This window comes from Homo sapiens, chromosome 2 (assembly GCF_000001405.40).
Source record: "Homo sapiens chromosome 2, GRCh38.p14 Primary Assembly".
NCBI classification, from domain to species: Eukaryota; Metazoa; Chordata; class Mammalia; order Primates; family Hominidae; genus Homo; species Homo sapiens.
Genome location: NC_000002.12, coordinates 85033039 through 85052151, shown reverse-complemented (window position 1 = coordinate 85052151; position 19113 = coordinate 85033039). Strand labels below are relative to the sequence as shown.

General features: G+C 39.7%; 1 protein-coding gene across 3 annotated transcripts in view; it reads right to left on the bottom strand.

Moving 5' to 3' along the window:
- The window catches only part of KCMF1 (potassium channel modulatory factor 1), an 88312-nt gene that overhangs the window by 7321 nt on the left and 61878 nt on the right, over positions 1-19113 (bottom strand). For all 3 annotated transcript variants that reach the window (XM_047445126.1, NM_020122.5, XM_006712052.4), the window contains 4 exons: positions 16997-17136; positions 8487-8588; positions 5874-6048; positions 2504-2786 (listed from right to left, as the gene is read on the bottom strand). In XM_047445126.1, the coding sequence (XP_047301082.1) occupies positions 2504-2786; positions 5874-6048; positions 8487-8588; positions 16997-17136 (700 nt within the window). The remainder of the gene's footprint in view (positions 1-2503; positions 2787-5873; positions 6049-8486; positions 8589-16996; positions 17137-19113) is intronic.

Here is a 19113-nt window from a genome sequence, read left to right as displayed (position 1 = left end):
GTTGCAGTGAGCCGAGATCGTGCCATTGCACTCCAGCTTGGGCAACAAGAGCGAAATTCTATCTCAAAAAAAGACCGATCTGACTTACACACTCCAATAATCACTTTCTAAAAGGTCAACTATCTTGGACTTCAAAGAAACTGTGACCTTACCATCAGTTGCAGGGCAACATGAATAGGAACTGCCCCTGGTCAAAGAAAAGACCAAAAATAAGGCTTGGGCCCTATATATATCACATAAGAGCTGTGTGACCAGAGAGCAGGATCTCCCCTGCATACACTGCAGCCGTTCTCCTTGCCTTGAAAATTCACAATGCATGTTAATATATTTGAAGTTCTAAGAAGCCCAACAGTAAATAATCTCTTAATTTTCCTTACTTTGCTTTCTGCAACCTTATTAATTGGGGGTGGAAGAACATAAGTAATTACATATATTCCTTTGAATATATGAAGTTAAGAGAGTATTTCTGGGGAAATATTGCCTTAAATAAATCATATGAATATAATACAATAAAAGATGTGGAAAGTGGTTTGCAAACTGCATGGTACCATAGAATGTACAGTATCAGATGATAGAAGGGGGATTTCAAGAAGCTACAACCAGAATCCACAGACAGCACTCAGAGGTCACTCATACCATGCTCTGAGAGTTGGGTGTGGAATAAATGCACAGAAAAAAATTACAGATCAAGCTGAGTAGTTTGGGTCTTAAAAAAAAAAAGGATAGGGCAAGGGTGGGTAGGAAGATGTCTTTTCCAAAGGGCACTGGCAAGACATTCCACCCACAGTTCTGTGAACTCTCAGTAGAAATGCACGCTAGTAGATCTCCTTTTTGAGGTAGGGACTTAGATCTGGTATGTTATAGACCTGCTGCTGGTCAGTCCCTATGGGGAAGGCTACATGGCAGCAGGTAGCTCCATCTGTGGCTCTGTGGTTTTCTTACATTAAAGCAGCATTATCTGGTAATAACCAGGCACAGTTACTGACCTTGCAGAGATAATTCAAAGGTAAATTACCCATTTAAAATGTTTTTCTTGGTTTCATAACAAATGTTGATAACGAGTACCATTAATTGGACCTTTACTATAGGCCAGATAGTGAGCCAGACCATACACATACCAGTATTCCATTTAATCCTCAAAATAATTATCTCTCTAAAGGCAAAACTTCTGGGATACTGATGATAAAATTGAGGTTTGGAGGAGTGAAATGACTTGCCTGAGGTCCAAAACTTGTAATTGGCAAAGCTGGGGCTCTAGCCCAGGGATTTTCAAGCATTTTTTATTCTGCACCCACAATATGTTATTTATAACTATACACATGCACCACTGTATTAACAGAGTATGAGATAAAAGAAACATAAGTAGAAATTATAATATTTTCCTCTAACATCCCAATGAATTGTCATACACACTGCATTTTGGAAATAATCATGTATTACACAAACTTTATTCTTCATTTTACAGTTCTTCCTTTATGTTCCTCTCTGCTCCCTTAAAAGCCCAATTAGTCCAGGTTCATTATCTGTTGAGGCTAAGTCTCCACTCATCATTGCTCTTTTAAGAATTCTTTATATTCCTAAAAGTCACATAAAATGCCTGTGAAGTTTTGGCAGACAAATACATGCAGTTGCTAACAGTTTCAGAAGCAAACAAGAACTCCATCTAGTAGAGTAGTTTACTGTTTTACTAAATATTATTTATACCATAGGAAGCCATTTTTTTAAGTTACTTTTGTGTGCCAACCATAAAAATTTAAATCTAGCTTTTTTAGAAATTCACAGGAGAAAACTGCCACTGTATTATGAAATCCTTCTTATACTTTTAATATTTCAAAGCAGATTAAAACTGGCAATAACAAGCAACGTTAATTATGATAAATACACCTAATATGAACCATATATATATAATGATATAGTGTTTAAGTTTTATGGGTACTATGGCAAAACAATTCATATTATATGATGATATATACCTTGAGAACAAGACCAGTTATTTTATTTTAGAGACAGGGTCTCACTCTTGTCACCCAGGCTGGAGTGCATGGTGCAATCTTGGCTACTGCAACCTCTGTCTCCAGGGCTCAAGCGATCCTCCCACCTCAGCCTCCTGAGTAGCGGGGACTACAGGTGCGCACCATCACACCTGGCTCATTTTTGTAGAGATAAGATTTCATCATGTTACCCAGGGTGGTTTGGAACTCCTGGGCTCTGGCGATCTGCTTGCCTTGGCCTCCCAAAGTGCTGGGATTACAGGTGTGAGGTGCTGGGATTACAGGTGTGAGCCACTGGGTCTGGCCCAGTATTCTTAATTTATCTAAAATAATTACTATGTTTCACATTCTTGGGGAAATACTGAATATGCGTTTTAATCAGAGATCTGTGAGTTTTAATCAAACACAAAATTTTAAAGAAATATAATGCACAAAAGAGAAAAGATAATTCCAGACTGTAGTGGCAATAAAATATTACTTCCCAAACAAAATTCTATTAACAAATGAGCTACCTTGTTAAAAGAAACTGGGAATTCTGTAGAGTCTGCTGACTGCTTTCTGTATTAGCTATGTTGGTTGTTGCTGTGGATTGTGTGATTGTAGTGGTGACACTGCTTGTGTTAGTACGCCGGGTTGCGTTGCGTGCGGTCTCCAGTTGTTGCCGTGCTGCCTGGGCATGCTGCCGTTCTAGCTGCAGCTGCATCTGCAGTTGTTGTAACTGAGAAGCGGAAGGGCCAGAGGAATTAAGCTGTCCTCCTGCAGAACGTCTCACTCCTGATAACTGAGATAAAAGCTCTGCCAATGGAAATGAAGACAATTAATGTCTGCTTAATACTGAGGAAAACAAAACGCTACAGATCACTCTTTTACTGGAACAACATCAAAAGCATTGTGAACAGGTAGGTAACCACCACAGCACACAGTTTAAGAGCTGAATCCTTCTAGAATGCCTCCTGAAGGCAGGAGTTACTGTGGACAGAGAATGCAAATGCATACGAATATTAACCCAGACTGAATTATGTTTGAAGTAAAACTTAAATTGTCTTTAAAATTATTTGCATAATAGACTAATTTAGTGAAGCTTTCTCTTAGTATTTAATGAAGTGGTTTATCTGTGGGCCCAATTATAATATAAGCTCTCTCAATATGTGTTCCATGGAAGCAGGGATGAGGTCTACTGTTGACTATATTCCCAGCTATCAGAACAGGGCCTGATATAGCAGGAATTCAAACATTTACTGAATGACTGAATGAATTATTAGGATTCAGTCCAAGAGGCCTGGATCATTTCTGATGGTGGCCCTTGCACACTCTCTGCCTCTGCTTTCTCCCTCTAGTACCTTCTGGTACTGCTGTTTCAGAGTACCACTGCAGTAGATACCACTACCAGTGCTCAGCAAGGCTGACTGGCTCCTGAGAACCTGCTGCATCTGACTGTACAGCCTACTTAGTGGCCTGTTATGATCCAGACTGTCTTGTGTCCATAAGGCTGTACTCATTAAGAGAGGTGTAAACTTTTGTCCCCGCATCCTCATCTAAGTAAGGTACAGTGAAATGCCTTCTTCCAAGTGGAGGGTCCACCTCGCTTATAGGGAATCGATGACTGCCTTGCAGACACTTTCAGGCCAGCAAAAACTCTTTATCATTAAAACTCATTAACAGTTTGTTTTCTTGCTCACTGTTGCTTTATCCCAGGCTTTTTATAGCACTCTTATACCACTCTTTCATGGAATATACAGTCTATCACTAAAATAAACTAATTTTCACTGACAGAAAAAAAATCAAATGAAGAAAATTTCTCAATTTTGAATTTTGCTCCCAGAAACTACTTTAATTTTTAGTGCCTGCCACCAAAATAGCAGGTAAATATTCCCTTTGGATGAAGAAATATTTTTTAAATCCCCCAAACTCAGTTTATTAGGCTTGTTTTTGTTGTTGCACACACAAATGTCCAAAGCACATTTGGAATTAAAATTTTATATGGTATATCTAACTTTTAAATAACATGATAGGTATAAAATTGTTCTTAGGTTGTTTTTCTTTTTTAAATTTTTATTTTAGGTTTGGGGGTACATGTGAAGGTCCGTTACACAGTTAAACACCTGCCACGAGGGTTTGTCATACATATTATTACATCACCCAGGACCCAATTAAGCCCAGTACCCAACAGTTATCTTTCTGCTCCTCTCTCTCTTGCTACCCTCCCCCAGTGTCTGCTGTCTCCTCCTTTGTGTTCCTAAGTTGTCATTTAGCTCTGATGTTCTCAGTTTCTATTACAGATTTACACTTATCAATGTTTCAGGTGTTCTGCAGGGTGCTCATGGCTTCCAGGTAGGTGCACACTTCACCACATGGACACATTTCAGAATTGTTGCTTTAAATGTGTGCACACTTCCCACTGTCTTACCACTTGTCTGCTTGGTGTGTCTTGCAGATTATCAGGCTACAGTGATTTCTTGTATTTTATTTTGACCCTGTGTTCTGCTACCAACTTCCTAGGTTTGTCATGTACTAGACTCAGTGACATGGCCAGGTTCAAAAACTGTGTTTTTTTTTTTTTTTTTAAGATTTTTCCCAAGCTATTAAACATGTACCTTTCAGTATGTTCTACAACAATATAGTTCTCAAATCAAGGTCAGGACATTAAGTCCTACTTTCCTTTCTTCCATGAGAAGAGCTTAATTCTTTAGTCTTTTCAATTAGCTATAGATAACAGTTCTGAAATGTGTCCATGTGGTGGAATGTGTACCTGGAAGCCATGAGGCGCCTTGCACAACATCTGAGATAGGCATAAATCTGTGACAGAATTTTACACATAACATGTTCTTAAAAATGTTAGCTATACCTTATAAAACCTTAATTTCAAATGTGCTTTGGACATTTTTTTATGTGTACTTATGGAGATTTAACCATGACATTTTGGAGGTATTCAAGTTGAAATCTTTTATGATTTCCTTGGGCTTCAATAGAGGCCACAAATACAACATAAAACCATTTCTTATCATCTTTTGTCTCTAAGAACAGTAGTCTCCCTTTACCTGCAGGAGATACGTTCCAAAACCCCCAGTGAATGGCTGAAATGGGCATTTGGATAATACAGAACCCTATACATACTATGTTTTTTCCTATACATACTTATCTGTTGTGCTAAAGTTTAATTTATAAATTAGGCACCTAATTTATAAATTAGGAACATGAGATTCCCAACAAAATAGAGTAAATCTAAAAATATACTATGAAAGTTATGTGATGTGGTCTCTCTCTAAGTATCTTATTGTCCTGTACTCACCTATTTTTTGACTGTAGTTGGTTGTGGGTAACTGAAACCCAGGAAAGCAAAACCACATGACGGGGGGACTACTGGACTTAAGCAATGCCAGAAGAGTATGAATTACTTTATGTTAAGTGTCTGCTTTTAACACATTTTACACTTTTAATGTATTTGGGAATTTTGTGAAGGAACATGGCTTATGATCAGAGAGGTGAGACTTAAGAACACAAATCTCACAAAAAGTTTTTTTTTTTTTTTTTGAGACAGGGTCTCACTCCATCACCCAGGCTGGACTGCAGTGGTGCGATCTCGGCTCCCTGGAACCTCCACCTTTCAGGCTCAAGCGATTCTCATGCCTCAGCATCCAGAGTAGCTGCGATTACAGGCACCCACCACCAAATCTGGCTAATTTTTTTATTTTTAGTAGAGATGGAGTTTTGCCATGTTGGCCAGGCTGGTCTTGAATTCCTGGCCTCAAGTGATCCACCCGCTCCAGCCTCCCAGAGTGCTGGGATTAAAGGTGTGAGCCACCGCACCTGGCATCACAAAAAGTTTTAAAAGGAGCTCCTCCTTCCCCTGCCATTTCCCTTATTAATGTGAAACTAACTTACCAGCTATAGGATCCATGGCTTCCCTATTGCTTGGAGAATATGAACTCTGAGAAGAAGAAAGTCCACCAGTAGAACTGCTAGTAAAGTGCATGTTTGATCTACGAGCACGAGGACCTCCTAATCCCCGGCCAGGGTGAAACATTCTACGTACATGTCGAACACCACTCGATTCATCATAACCCAAAAGTTAAGAAAAAAACGAAAGTATTTCACAGAAAGAAAAAAAATCACCTGAGTCCTTGCTAGACAGATGTAAAGATTTCCTGAATTGTAAGCATTTAAAAACAGCACATTTAACTTAAAGTGCAAATGTCCCAACTCTATCTATGAGGGCTATTAACCCTAAAAAGACACTCAAATGTAAGGCAACATGTGAGTGTGTGTGTGTGTATTGGGTGTGTGAGGTAAAAAAGTTTCTCTATATAGCTCATGAAATCTCAAATACCACCTATAATGAAAAAGGAACAATACTGAATGTATATTCAGCACATCAAAGGTTCCTTTTGGATTATTAGTTTTACTCTGTCTTCAAGCTTCTTTCCAATGCCGCTGCTAAGCAGAAAACAGATTTGCATTTCTTGTATAAGACACACAGATAGATTAACATGACATTTATCACGAAGAAAAATTCCCAGCAGCCTCAACCGTCTTACACAGCTGAGTGTAAGTCAAACTGAAAAAGGTCCTGAGTTGCAAATAGCTGTCAAAACTCATGAAGACAACCTTACGTTTCCACAAAGGCAAATGAGAGGTGGGGGAGGCCAGATCATATAGAAGAGATTTTTCCTTTAAAGTACCAAACAGACCAGCTTTATAATGCAGATTAATTTTTTGGCTGGCTTCTCAGTTTTTCAGCTGATGGTTCTGGAGTTATTTAAGGACCGGATGGGTAGCTCCAAGAGGCCTTCAGGTGTCACGGTACATGCCCTGTTCCATCATATTCATGAGGATGGTTTGGGTTCTAGAGAAAGTGATATGATCATATTTATATATTTGATAATTTTATATTATGATTATATATACATATATATATGTATCTTGAGACAGGGTCTCACTTTGTTGCCAGGCTGGAGTGCAGTGGTGCAATCATAGCTTACTGCAGCCTTGAGCTCATGGGCTCAAGTGATCCTCCTACCTCAGCCTCTTGAGTAGCTGGGACCACAGGTGTGTGCCACCAGCTGAGCTCATTATTTTGGTAGAGATGGGGTCTTCCTATGTTGTCCAGGTTGGTTTCAAACTTCTAGGCTCAAGTGATCCTCCCACCTTGGCCTTTCAAAGTGCTGGGAGTATAGGCATGAGCCACTGTACCCAGCTGGTGACAGTTTTAGACGAACAATTCATAACCTGAAATCAGAAGCATTGAGTCCACAAAATTAATCGCTCTGGTAGGCCAGTAATCTCAGGGAACACTGCCAGAAACTGTTGAGAGACAAGGAAGGGAATGCAGAAATAAAAGCAAGAGGCTGGGCGTGGTGGCTCACGCCTGAATCCCAGCACTTTGGGAAGCTGAGGTGGGCAGATCACCTGAGGTCAGGAGTTCGAGACCAGCCTGGCCAACATGGTGAAACCCCATCTCTACTAAAAAAATACAAAAATTGGCCAGGCGCAGTGGTTCATGCCTGTAATCCCAGCACTTTGGGAGGCTGAGGCAGGCAGTCAGGAGTTCAAGACCAGCATGGCCAAGAGACCAGCCTGGCCAATATGGTGAAACCCCATCTCTACTAAAAATACAAAAATTAGCTGGGTGTGGTGGCGGGCACCTGTAATCTTAGCTACTTGGGAGGCTGAGGCAGGAGAATTACTTGAATCCAGGAGGTGGAGGTTGCAATAAGCTGAAGATAGCACCATTGTACTCCAGCCTGGCTGACAGAGCAAGACTCCGACTTTTAAAAAAAAAAGAAAAGAAAAGAAAAGCAGGAAAGGAAATTTAAAGCTAGAGCTGACCTTATGCTATCCTACTCAGGAACTCGGCAGGAAATGGCTCTCTCTGGAGAAGGGGACCCCAAAAAGGAAAGGAACACCAAGATGCACACCTGTCCCCACCATCTCACCACACCACACCCACAACAGGGTAAGGCAGCAGAGGAACAGAGAGGGAAAGCAAATAATGCCTCTTCATATTTAACTAATTAAATTTTAATTTGGATTAACATTTTCCTCTTTTGTATGAAAACGCCATCCTGGAAGACACAATTTGGTCAAACTGCCTTAAAAAAAATCTAATTGTAATGAACTAAAGATGAAGGACAAGTCAACTTTCACTTAATGAAAATGGTTCATACAATGGTGATAGTATATAAAAAGAGAAATAAATTGCATCTCAGCACTGAGTCACTTTTAGGAAAAGTTCAAATAAGTAAAAATAATTTGGACATTACTTTTCCTCTTTTGGGGGATATGATCCTTAAAAAAAATCAAAATGACAAGCTGGATGCAGTGGCACATGTGTGCCTATAGTCCCAGCTACTCAAGAGGCTGAAGCAGGAGGATCACTTGAGCTCAGGAGTTTGAGACCAGCCAGGTCGACACAGCGAGATCTTGTCTCCAAAACAAAAAATCAAAATGACAAACATTACAAACAACTCTTTTCCTTGTCATCTCTTAAAAGGATATTAAATCTCTAGGGGCTCTGTGTTCAAGTGTAAGATGAGCTGCAAAGTCATCCGTGACATGATTAGGATCGCCTCCAGGTAACGCTGCACATATTGGACAAATCTGAAATGGAAGTAAAGAAAGCAGCTTAATAAATGAACGTCAATAAGACATCTTTCTGGACGAGTATTCTGCTGTAAGTTTTACTATTATCAAGTTTTAACCAACAGAAAACACAGCAGATCCTAAATCAGTGAAAAGCAGTAGAAACCTAAGCAAGAACTGTTCACACAAGGTCCCTCAGGGTCAAACACAACAGTTTCAGACACACCAAACTTGATCTCTGGCAGGGCCTTCTAACAGCCTGCCTGATTCATTTGTATGGTCTAGCAAAATAGTTTCCATTAAAAAAAACTTTAAAATGTGCTATTTAGTGCACATTTACGTGTAAGTCCAGTCTTGAATGGTAAAGACAGATACAAGCCTATGGCACACTTCTCCAAAGCAAGCTATACTTGAGAGCCAATTCCCAAATAAGACAGCAGAGATCTGATTAAATGCAACTGTGCAAACATTCAACAGACATGTTGAATGTAAGACAAATTATGATTACTGATAATATGCAAATGTGGTCTATAAATTTATGAATGTGACTTCCAAGGGGAATATGGTATGGAAGCCCATTTTTAAACCTTATTTCCTGAAGAAATGGGGTGGTAGGCCAGAAGCTTGTAACCAGGTCAGGCTCAAGGAGTAGTAGAACAACTTTCCATGGGCCTCTTGGCAAGAGATGGGAGAAAGTAGGAATAAAATGGTGTGTACACAGTCACAGTTCGGGGAGCGGGTGACAGGTTGGGAAGGTGGTTTCTATAGTTAACAGAATTGGTGAAACAGAGGGAAGGAGAGGGGAAGGCTAGAAAGAATGAGGAACGTTTTAAAGAGGAAAGGCCCTTACTCTTCCGAAATTCAAATGGACAGATAATGTTCTAACAATGGTAGCCAAGCCTTGAAGTATGAACAACTTCAATCTTAAAGAACAGGGCCAAGAAGAAAGGTCTGAAGCAAGGGGCATGACCAAAAGGAGCCCCAGGAAGTGCACAGTTCAAGTTGTAGACTTGTGTCTTTATCCATAAATAAGAAGGTTAAAGATAGGATATGTGATTCATTGCCAGTACATGTGCCGAAATTCTTTCACTTAGGCAAAATCTAGGCAATTGGTCAACCTTATTGTCTGCTGCCAGCACAGTGGGAGTAGGTGGTAGCGCTGGAGATGAGGGGAGATGGAAAAGGTGAGACTTGGAAGGACAATCCTGGGGTACGGAGGGAAAACAAACTGCTCTGATTCCTGAAGCCCAAACAAACATAACTTTCCATCTTCTAACAACTAGAAAGCAGAAGTCTCCTGAGAGTTCAACTCTGATTTGATATCAGTCTCTCTTATGCCTAATCAGCTGTCCTGATTATGTGACTCAGGACTCTGAGAAATATCCTCAGGAAAACCTAAATATGTTCATGAGAAATAACATTTAAGCATGACAGTGTGCAGAAGAACTAGACAGGTCACAATGGAATGTGATGAGGCAAAAGAGAAAAAGAAGTAGATAGACCTGCCTATGCCTTTCTTAGAAGATGCCAGGAAGGTGGTCAGATTCTTTCCTCTGTCAGAAAAGTAGCTGTATGTGTCAAAGTTTACAGATTATCCATCCACTCTCTCTTTACTAGGGATTTAACTTTTACTATCTGTACCATTCCTGTACTCTGACATTACCTGGTTATGTCTGATATACATATTTTACTTTTCACGTGCTTCTGGTCTTACCTAGCTAAACTGTAAACTCTTTGAGAGATGCAGGACAATGTGATTTGTCTTTGGTTTTAAACTCCGGCCAGACTTGCTTTTTTTAAAAAAAAAAAAAAAAAAAAAAGACCAGCAATGTTTGGAGAAACAGAAAACAAGTTCCAGTTATTTAAAAATAAAACAAGCTACCTTAGAGACTCATCATTCTGAAAAAGTTAACAAGTGCTGGGTTATAGTTTTATTACAATATTATAAGGCTGTATAAGATTTTTATTTAAAGAGAAAATAACCACCAAAAGGAAAAGGCATCTTTCTTCTAAGATACTTTCCTTTAGATTGGCCTTCGGGTAAAATCTATAAACAACTTGAGCTGTCCAATGATAGCTGCAAAGGCTTCAGTACTTGAGGGGACATAAAAATGTTGGTAGATGAGAAAAGTCTCCACAAGGATATAGATTCCTAGAAGGAAAACAGAATGGGAAGCAGAGACATCAAACGTACAAAGAATGTCCTAATAAGATAGATAATTTAACAAGTAGAAAAGCACCTTCGAGACAAGGATGTAAAATAAAATCAAGATCCTTCCTTATCGTGTATTGACTTTGGTTCTATACTCAAAATCTTTTTTATTTCATTGCAGTAATTCTGCTAAGATGGCAGGATGAAGGTATTCAGAACTGCTTCATTCAAAGAGAAATAATATAAAACCAACCAATCAACCAACCAAACTTCCATAACTACTAGGGATAAAGAATTACTGAGGATAAGAAATTACTGTGGTGGGAGGATCACCCAGGTTGACAGCTGGCATAGAAAAATCAAGAGGCTAGGCCAGGCACGGTGGCTCATGCCTGTAATCCCAGCACTTTGGAAGGCTGAGGTGGGTGGATCACAAGGTCAGGAGTTCGAGACCAGCCTGACCAACATGGTGAAACCCCATCTCTACTAAAAAATACAAAAATGACCTGGGCATGGTGGCACACGCCTGTAATCCCAGCTACTCAGGAGGCTGAGGCAGGAGAATCACTTGAACCCGGGAAGCGGAGGTTGCAGTGAGCCAAGATCGCACCACTGCACTCCAGCCTGAGCGACAGAGACTCCATCTCAAAAAAAAAAAAAAGAAAAGAAAAAAGAAAATCAAGAGGCTAGATTTAGAACCAAGTGGAAGATGTTGCCACACTTGGGTCACATGAAGTTAACTCAAATGAGGAGTTGGAAAGGAAAACTAAGCTCAGATGCTGATGCGATCACAGAGGCCTGGTCACCTTTTAGGTTTTACATTTTATATTTAGCAAGCTAACTCATGCTTTAAGACAAAAATGCTTGTTCTCAAGACTGTGTTTTCTGAGAGGAAATGAAGGGAACAAGACGAAGAAAGAAAAAGGAGAGCAAAGCGGGGCAGGAGAAATGGAAAAGAGGTGGTGGGGAGTGGGAGGAGAGACAAAGCAAGCCACTGTGCCACTCATGGGCACAAATACTGCTTAGTTTTGAGTGTGTCTTTATTTCTACATCATGGTGCCTAATATCTCTTACAGGACAGGAAAACTCGACACAAAGGGTAACTTTAGGGTACTGACCCTAAAATTATGACAGCTTGTCAACATTAATATTTATCATACTTCCACTGCCACACGATAGAGTAATATCTATTATTCATATGGAAACATTCCATGTAACACACAAGCTTAAAATTACAACAACTTGTCAATTAAGATTTACTTAACTGGCTTAAGTCAGTATTTCTTTAATTTGGCTAAGAATATAAATCATCTGGGCCAGGTGCAGTGGCTCACGCCTACAATCGCAGCACTTTGGGAGGCCAAGGCAGATGGATTGCCTGAGGTTAGGAGTTTGAGACCAGTCTGGCCAACATGGTGAAACCCCATCTCTACTAAAAATACAAAAAAAATTAGCCAGGCGTGGTGGCACATGCCTGTAATCCCAGCTACTCGGGAGGCTGAGGCAGGAGAATTGCTTGAACTTGGGAGGCAGAGGTTGCAGTGAGCCGAGATCGCACCATCGCACTCGAGCCTGGGCAACAAGAGCAAAATCTCTGTCTCCAAAAAAAAAGGAAAAAACATTTGTATTCACAAATGTCCTTGCTGTTCTCAGTGTCGTCTCTGCTGTTGCTCGAGTTTCCTCTTCTCCTTCACCTTGCCACTGAGGGTCACCATCAGTCTTGCTTTTTATCTGCAGCCCCTTTGGAAGCCTTTACCAATTGAGATGAGGTCCCATCCCAAGAACGTACAGAGTCTCCATTTTTCCACATGGTTCCAGGGCATGACTACCAGCCAGCAACCAGTTAGGACACATTATAGCACAGTTTGTTGCCAATGTCTTTAAAATATACCTTCTGAAGTCATTACTCCACATATAAACACCGAATCACTGCTGAATATACAGAACTTTTCCTCTATGAAAGCACCTAAAGTCAGCATGCCTGATTTTTTTTTTAAAAACAACAGCTCCACACATTTTTCCCCATACAATTATCAACCATTTTAAAGCAAGTTTGGATTTCCTCTGGCCTCTCTCTTGAACTAATACAACTACAGCAGACAGCATTCTCTCGATGGGTACTATTCACAGCTTTAAAAACTATTCTTTATAACCACATTCCTATTTCTAGTTCAAGGATCTATGCTATGAAATCCAGGTAAGTTGGTAAAGTTAAAGTTCTGACTGGCTAAATTTGTTATATTATATAATTTTGTTACCATGGACTAATCCGTTAAGCACTTACTGAGTACCAAATCAGAACTAACTTAACACTTTAGTTTAAAACATTATCAAGAAATGAGCATAGTTCCTGCCAACATTAAAGTTCATATGAATTTCATCTCTTTTTAAAAACTGGGGCCAAAATTGGGGCAGGGCACAGTGGCTTATGCCTGTAACCCCAACACTTTGGGAGAATGAGGCAGGGGGATCACTTGCAGACAAGAGTTTGAGACCAGCCTGGGCCACACGGTGAGACGAAGTCTCTACCAAAATATTTTTTTTAAATTGGTATTTTTCATTATTTCTTCAAACTGGGGTACAATTCACGTCTCTGCTTTTGAGCGGCTCTTAGAACTCAGCTACAGAAACACCCAGGCTTATTATGCCAAGGGATTTTCTGATCACCTGCAATACAATGGGGGGAATGGGGTTTAAAACAGTTTTTCCACAGAAGAGTGATGACCCAAAAAGAGCCATCTAAATTTAAAGCCATCATACAAAACCTGTTGACACATATTATACTTTAGTGCTTATACAAAAAAAGAAAAAAAAGAAGAAGAAGAAGAAGAAAGACATTCTACTGAGTTAACTAAATGCCACGGCCAATGACAACTTCAGGCTTTTGGATCTCCTGCCCAATTAAAAGTATTAGTTGATCCTACAAAATCTGCAGATATAATGAATACAAGACTGAAATTCAAGTTTTGCTTGGAGAATATACATAAAGGACTAGTGGATGATCTATGCTATGTGGTCAAGAAACTCCTTTTGGGCCTTGTAGAACCGTCTAGCTTGTAGCTACCTGCACCTTGGCCATCCATTTTGCCAATATAAATAAAGGTCCTTTCAAGAGTTGAGTGAGCATACTGTTCAACTAGATTACAGTCTAATTTTCTGTTGCTGCAGTGAACAGTTATAGTAAGTGTTCAATTATAAGTGAAATTAACTTATAATTGTGAATTACTTCATATTAAATTATTTTCCCTGTCGATTCCATTCTCCCATCATAGTGCTGAAGTTAGATTTGTCACTGGCTTCTAAAGAGCAGCATTTACAAGTAATTTAGAAAGTCCTAAAAAGCAATTATGTTTTACTTTTAAACATGGTTCTTGTACAAAAATTTATGTGTATGATGACATCTTGGGAATTCACAAAACTTGAAATAGTATTAATATAATTTAGCTACACTGAAAAATAATTCCAAAGAAATCAGAAGGCAGTTCACAAAAGGGATTGCGCTCCTGTGAGAATCTAATGATGTTGCTGATCTGACAGGGAGTGGAGTTCAGGCGGTAATGTCCGCTGGCCCACTGCTCACCTTCTGCTCTGTGGCTTGGTTCCAAACAGGTCATGGACGGGTATTAGTCTGGTCCCGTCCGTGGCCCAGGGGTTGGGGAACCCTGGTCTAGAGGACACATGCAGGTAACGTGGGGCAAAGCAAGATAGCAAACAGAGCATTTAGAAAGGAATATGTTAAGAGGAATAGAAAAGGAGATATATAGCAAGTTGCTGTGTAGATATAATCCCCTAAACCAAAATGATGTAAATCACTCTTGAATTCCCTAATTAAAAAATGCAAAACATTGAGGGGTGAGAGGGGACACACAGTAATATCACCTGGACATTTACATATAACTGTAGCACACTGGAGCTGATAGTATGTTTCACATATATGCAGAGAGGCATTCAAAACACTTAACAACTGGTATGGCATAGGCACCAATCCTTCAGAATGGACACTAGTCAGCATGCTACACTTGGCTGTACCTGCTGAATGCCAGCCCTGCCTCTAGGACTTGACCCACATGACCTGAAGAAATCCTGTACTTTTATATTAAAGATTCTTATCTGCTTGCCATTTTTCACTTTGAAATGTCTAGGTGTATGGGTGGGAACATATGTAGATATAGTACTCATGCAAAGATTAAGGGCTAATGAGGAGAGATAAATCCTTAAAATATTCCACAAAAACCAATATGAAAATAGAGTGACAACTGCCTTGGGCTATGTACCAAAAGCCTGGAAACTTAATGAAGGCATAAACACAACTCACAAGAAACAGACCATGATAGCATTTGTAGGTGGTGGGTATTTAATTTTCAAACTGTGTATCAGGTATGCCAGAGTGTAAACAACAAATTTTGAGTATTTACTTTCAGGGGCGGGATGGGGGGGCATGGGGCAAACCAACCAGAGGCAAGGTTGTGGAAAACTGAGGAGTTGCCTTGCCCCTGAGGGGTGATGAAAATACTATACTAGGGACTATTGGCTGATAATAATAACAAAATATAATAATAAATATTATCAATTAATGTTATATATTTATTAATATATTTATATATTATATATAATAATACATAATTTTTTTTTGGAGACAGGGTCTTGTTCTGTTACCCAGGCTGCAGTGCAATGCAGTGGCACAATCATGGCTCACTGCAGCCTCAACCTCCTGAGCTCAAGCAATTCTCCCACCTCAACTTCCCAAGTAGCTGGGACCACAGGTATGTGCCACCACGTCCAGCTAATTTTTAAATTTTGTGGAGACAAGGCCCCACTTTGTTGTCCAGGCCAATCTCAAACTTCTGGGCTCAAGCAATGCTCTCACCTCAGCTTCCCAGTGTTGGGATTACAGTCATGAGTCACTGTGCACAGTCTAATAATGATTTTAAGGATGCCTAATTTACAATAAGAACTCCATGTTTGTGTTATGGTATTTAGGTAAAGGACCCAAACTTAACAGAAATTAAATCAAAGAAAAATGACTGCAAGTTTTCCACATCAACCAGCATGGAGATGCAACTGAGTTAGGATTCTTCATACTGTACCAAAAGGAAGCAAAGTCACTTTACAGAATAAAAAGAATAAACTAAGAATAGTAATAAAATGTGACAACAGTAGTCTGAGGCTCTCCTAGGTAAAAGATCAGAGCATTTCTGAGCTGTTAAGACAGCAAAATTTGGCTTGATGTCTATAAAAAATAAATTTACCTACTGTTTGAACTATACATGTTATAACAACTTCAAACATCAAACTAGCAGTGTCAGTGGGAATAAAAGTAACCCTATATTATATGCATAGCTGTAGCAGAGTTAAGTAGAGACTCTGGAACCCAGAGGGACTCTAGCTGAGTCCAAACACCTGCCCCTACCCCTGCCCCTTACTAAGCTGTATGTCCTTGAGCATGCTACTTTATTTCTCTGGGTTTCAATTAATTTGTTTTGAGTACATTTACGGGCTTATTAGTTGATGCAATATGCAATTACTGTGCCAAAATTCTCCCAATTCAGTATCTATAGTTCCATATAAAGCCTTCACTTTACCTATTATTATCAATGGTAAAGAGGTGGGGGAGAGACTCTTAGGTGTACTTTATCATTTCTTGAAGGTGGATGCATGCTGACTCAGATGTCAAGTAAAAAATCCAACAAGCTTTCAAGGTAAGACTTTCTTTGTGTATTATTCTGGGTCCATGGCCTTTAGCCACTGGAAAGATCAGGATAGGAAGAACTTCTAGGGACCCCAGAGCTTGACCTAGGAAGCAAGAGATGTGATCTGATGAAAACCAGGTAAGATCAGCGATATGCTACAATGAGATGTGACAATGGATTATTATGATACTACCAAAGGTTTTTAAATTTCCTTGTGAAGTTCCTTGTAGAAGAAAAGTTAAGCAGATAGCAAGGATACTATAACAAGAGATGCACTGCAGGTTGCCATCCTTTTAACCTTTCACAATGCATTGAATAAAGGGCTCCTGAATTTGGTCAAGACTCCATGCTGTGGGTTTAGCTACAGGTTAAGAAACCCAGTGTGGACAGTAAGAGGTATTATTTTGCAAAAATGCAGCCTCCCATGATGTATAAAATTTGCTGTTAAAAGATGATTTTAATAACTATGCAAACGGTATCATTACACTGAGCAGGAAGCAGATGACAGTGACCTAGCTTTATTAATGTTAGAAATAATATACTTTACAACATCATTTTAGTCATAAGGTTGCTGCTTCACTTACCACTTCTGTTGATGTTTCTGCATGTTCAGAAGTAACATGTTCTTGAAGAGATGTCTCCGTATAGCCCATTTTTCCACAATAGGGACAAGTAAAAGACTGTGGCTGCTCTACAGAGAAAGCTTCCCCACCATAGTATAAATCTGAAAAATAAGGTAGAATTGCATTGAGGAATATTAGTTTTTAAACATATAAAAATGTAATCGTACGATACAATAATGTAAAAAAGAAAGTGTGGGCCAGGAGCAGTGGTTCATGCCTGCAATCCCAGCACGTTGGGAGGACAAGGTGGGTGGATCACTTGAGGTCAGGAGTTTGAGACCAGCCTGGTGAACATGGTAAAACCTCGTGTCTACTAAAAATACAAAAATTAGCCAGGCATGGTGGCAGATGCCTGTAATCTCAGCTGCTCCGGAGGCTGAGCCAGGAGAATCGCTTGAACTTGGAAGGCAGAGGTTGCAGTGAGCCGAGATCATGCCACTGCACTCCAAAAGAAAGTGTGCCTAAAATATTCAACAACGTCACGTGATCAAGGAGTGCTTAGGTACCTGTTTACATTTGTAATATCCTTATTCCCATGAGGACTCCATGTTATTCCTCCAAAATTCCTTCCCCAGATAGCTACTACATATATAGCCTTAAGAGAGAACGAGACAAACAACTCCATCCTCCTTCATTTATTTGAAACATTGGTCATTTCACATCTGGCTCTAATTTTATTGTAATTTATTTTTTCCTTATCTGTATATACTGGGGCAACACTGACATTGACAGTAAAAATCAGCAGGGTCTACCATGTAACAGGGACAAATGTGCTCAGAGGGAAAGAACAGACAACCATGATCAATATGAGAACTCCCAGATGTAGCTAGTTGTCTATAGAACATGCTGCTTTTAGAGCAGGAAGGACCCTGAACATTCATTTTTTGTAAATGCTAACTTAAGATACTACCAACAACATTAAGAAATTTTTTTTGAGACAAGGTCTTACTCTGTCGCACAGGCTGGATGATCACAGCTCACTGCAGACTCAGTATCTGGGCTCAAATGATCCTCCTGCCTCAGCCTCCAACATAACTGAACTACAGGTGTGTGCCATCACATCCGGCTAATTAAAAAAAAAATTTTTTTTTTTTTTTGGAAAGATGGGGTCCCACCATGTTGCCTAGGCTGGTTTTGAACTCCTAGGCTCAAGTCATCCTCCCACCTCAGCCTCCCAAAGTGCTGGGACTACAGGCATGAGCCACCACGCCTGGCCTGTCACAAAATATTTTGCCCAACTGGGTTACTGGAAAACTAACCAGTTAGTCTGTAGGAATAATTTGTTCACCTCGTAAGTGTATCTGAAGGAATAAGTCTTTTTTTCCCAGTAGGTAATTGCTATGGTTTGAATATGGTTTGTCCCCACCAAAGCTCATGCTGTGGCTTCATCTCCAATGTGGTGGTGTTGGAAGGTGGTGTCTTTAGGAGGTGATAGGGTTGTTAAGAGGTATTAACACCTTTCTCAGGAGTGAATTCTCGCTCTCTCAGGACTGAATTAGCTCCCTTGAGAGTGAGTTGTTTTAAAGGGAGGCTGTCTGTCACTTACAACTGTTTGGTCTCTTTACACATGCCCACTTCCCCATCTGCTTCTCTGCCATGTTATGACACAGCTGAGGCCCTCACCTGAAGTCGACCAGATGAAGCTGAACAATCTTGGCCCCTTTAGCCTCAACAATTGTGAGCTAAATAGACCCCTTTCCTTTAGAAATTATCTAATTTCAAGGATTTTCTTATACTAAGATAAAACAGAGAGACAGAAACATAAAATAAAATTAAAGTATATTCAGTGTGTTACGCCACTAAAAAGAATTATTTAATTATTTAGCATAAAACAAACACCAAATTTAAGAGAGCTTTTGTGAGAAAAGAAAATGGAAGAAAGTGTTCATTACGTGATAGATTTGTTCATATTCATTTTTAGGGAGATTTAAATGATCATAAAAGTTTTATGTATTATGTATATATTGACCATTTATTAGGTGCACAAGACTTGTTAGGTGAATTTGGAGTAGCTGGGGATAAATATATTAAAAAGAATAGAACTTCCTCATCTGATAAAGGGCATCTACCAAAAACTG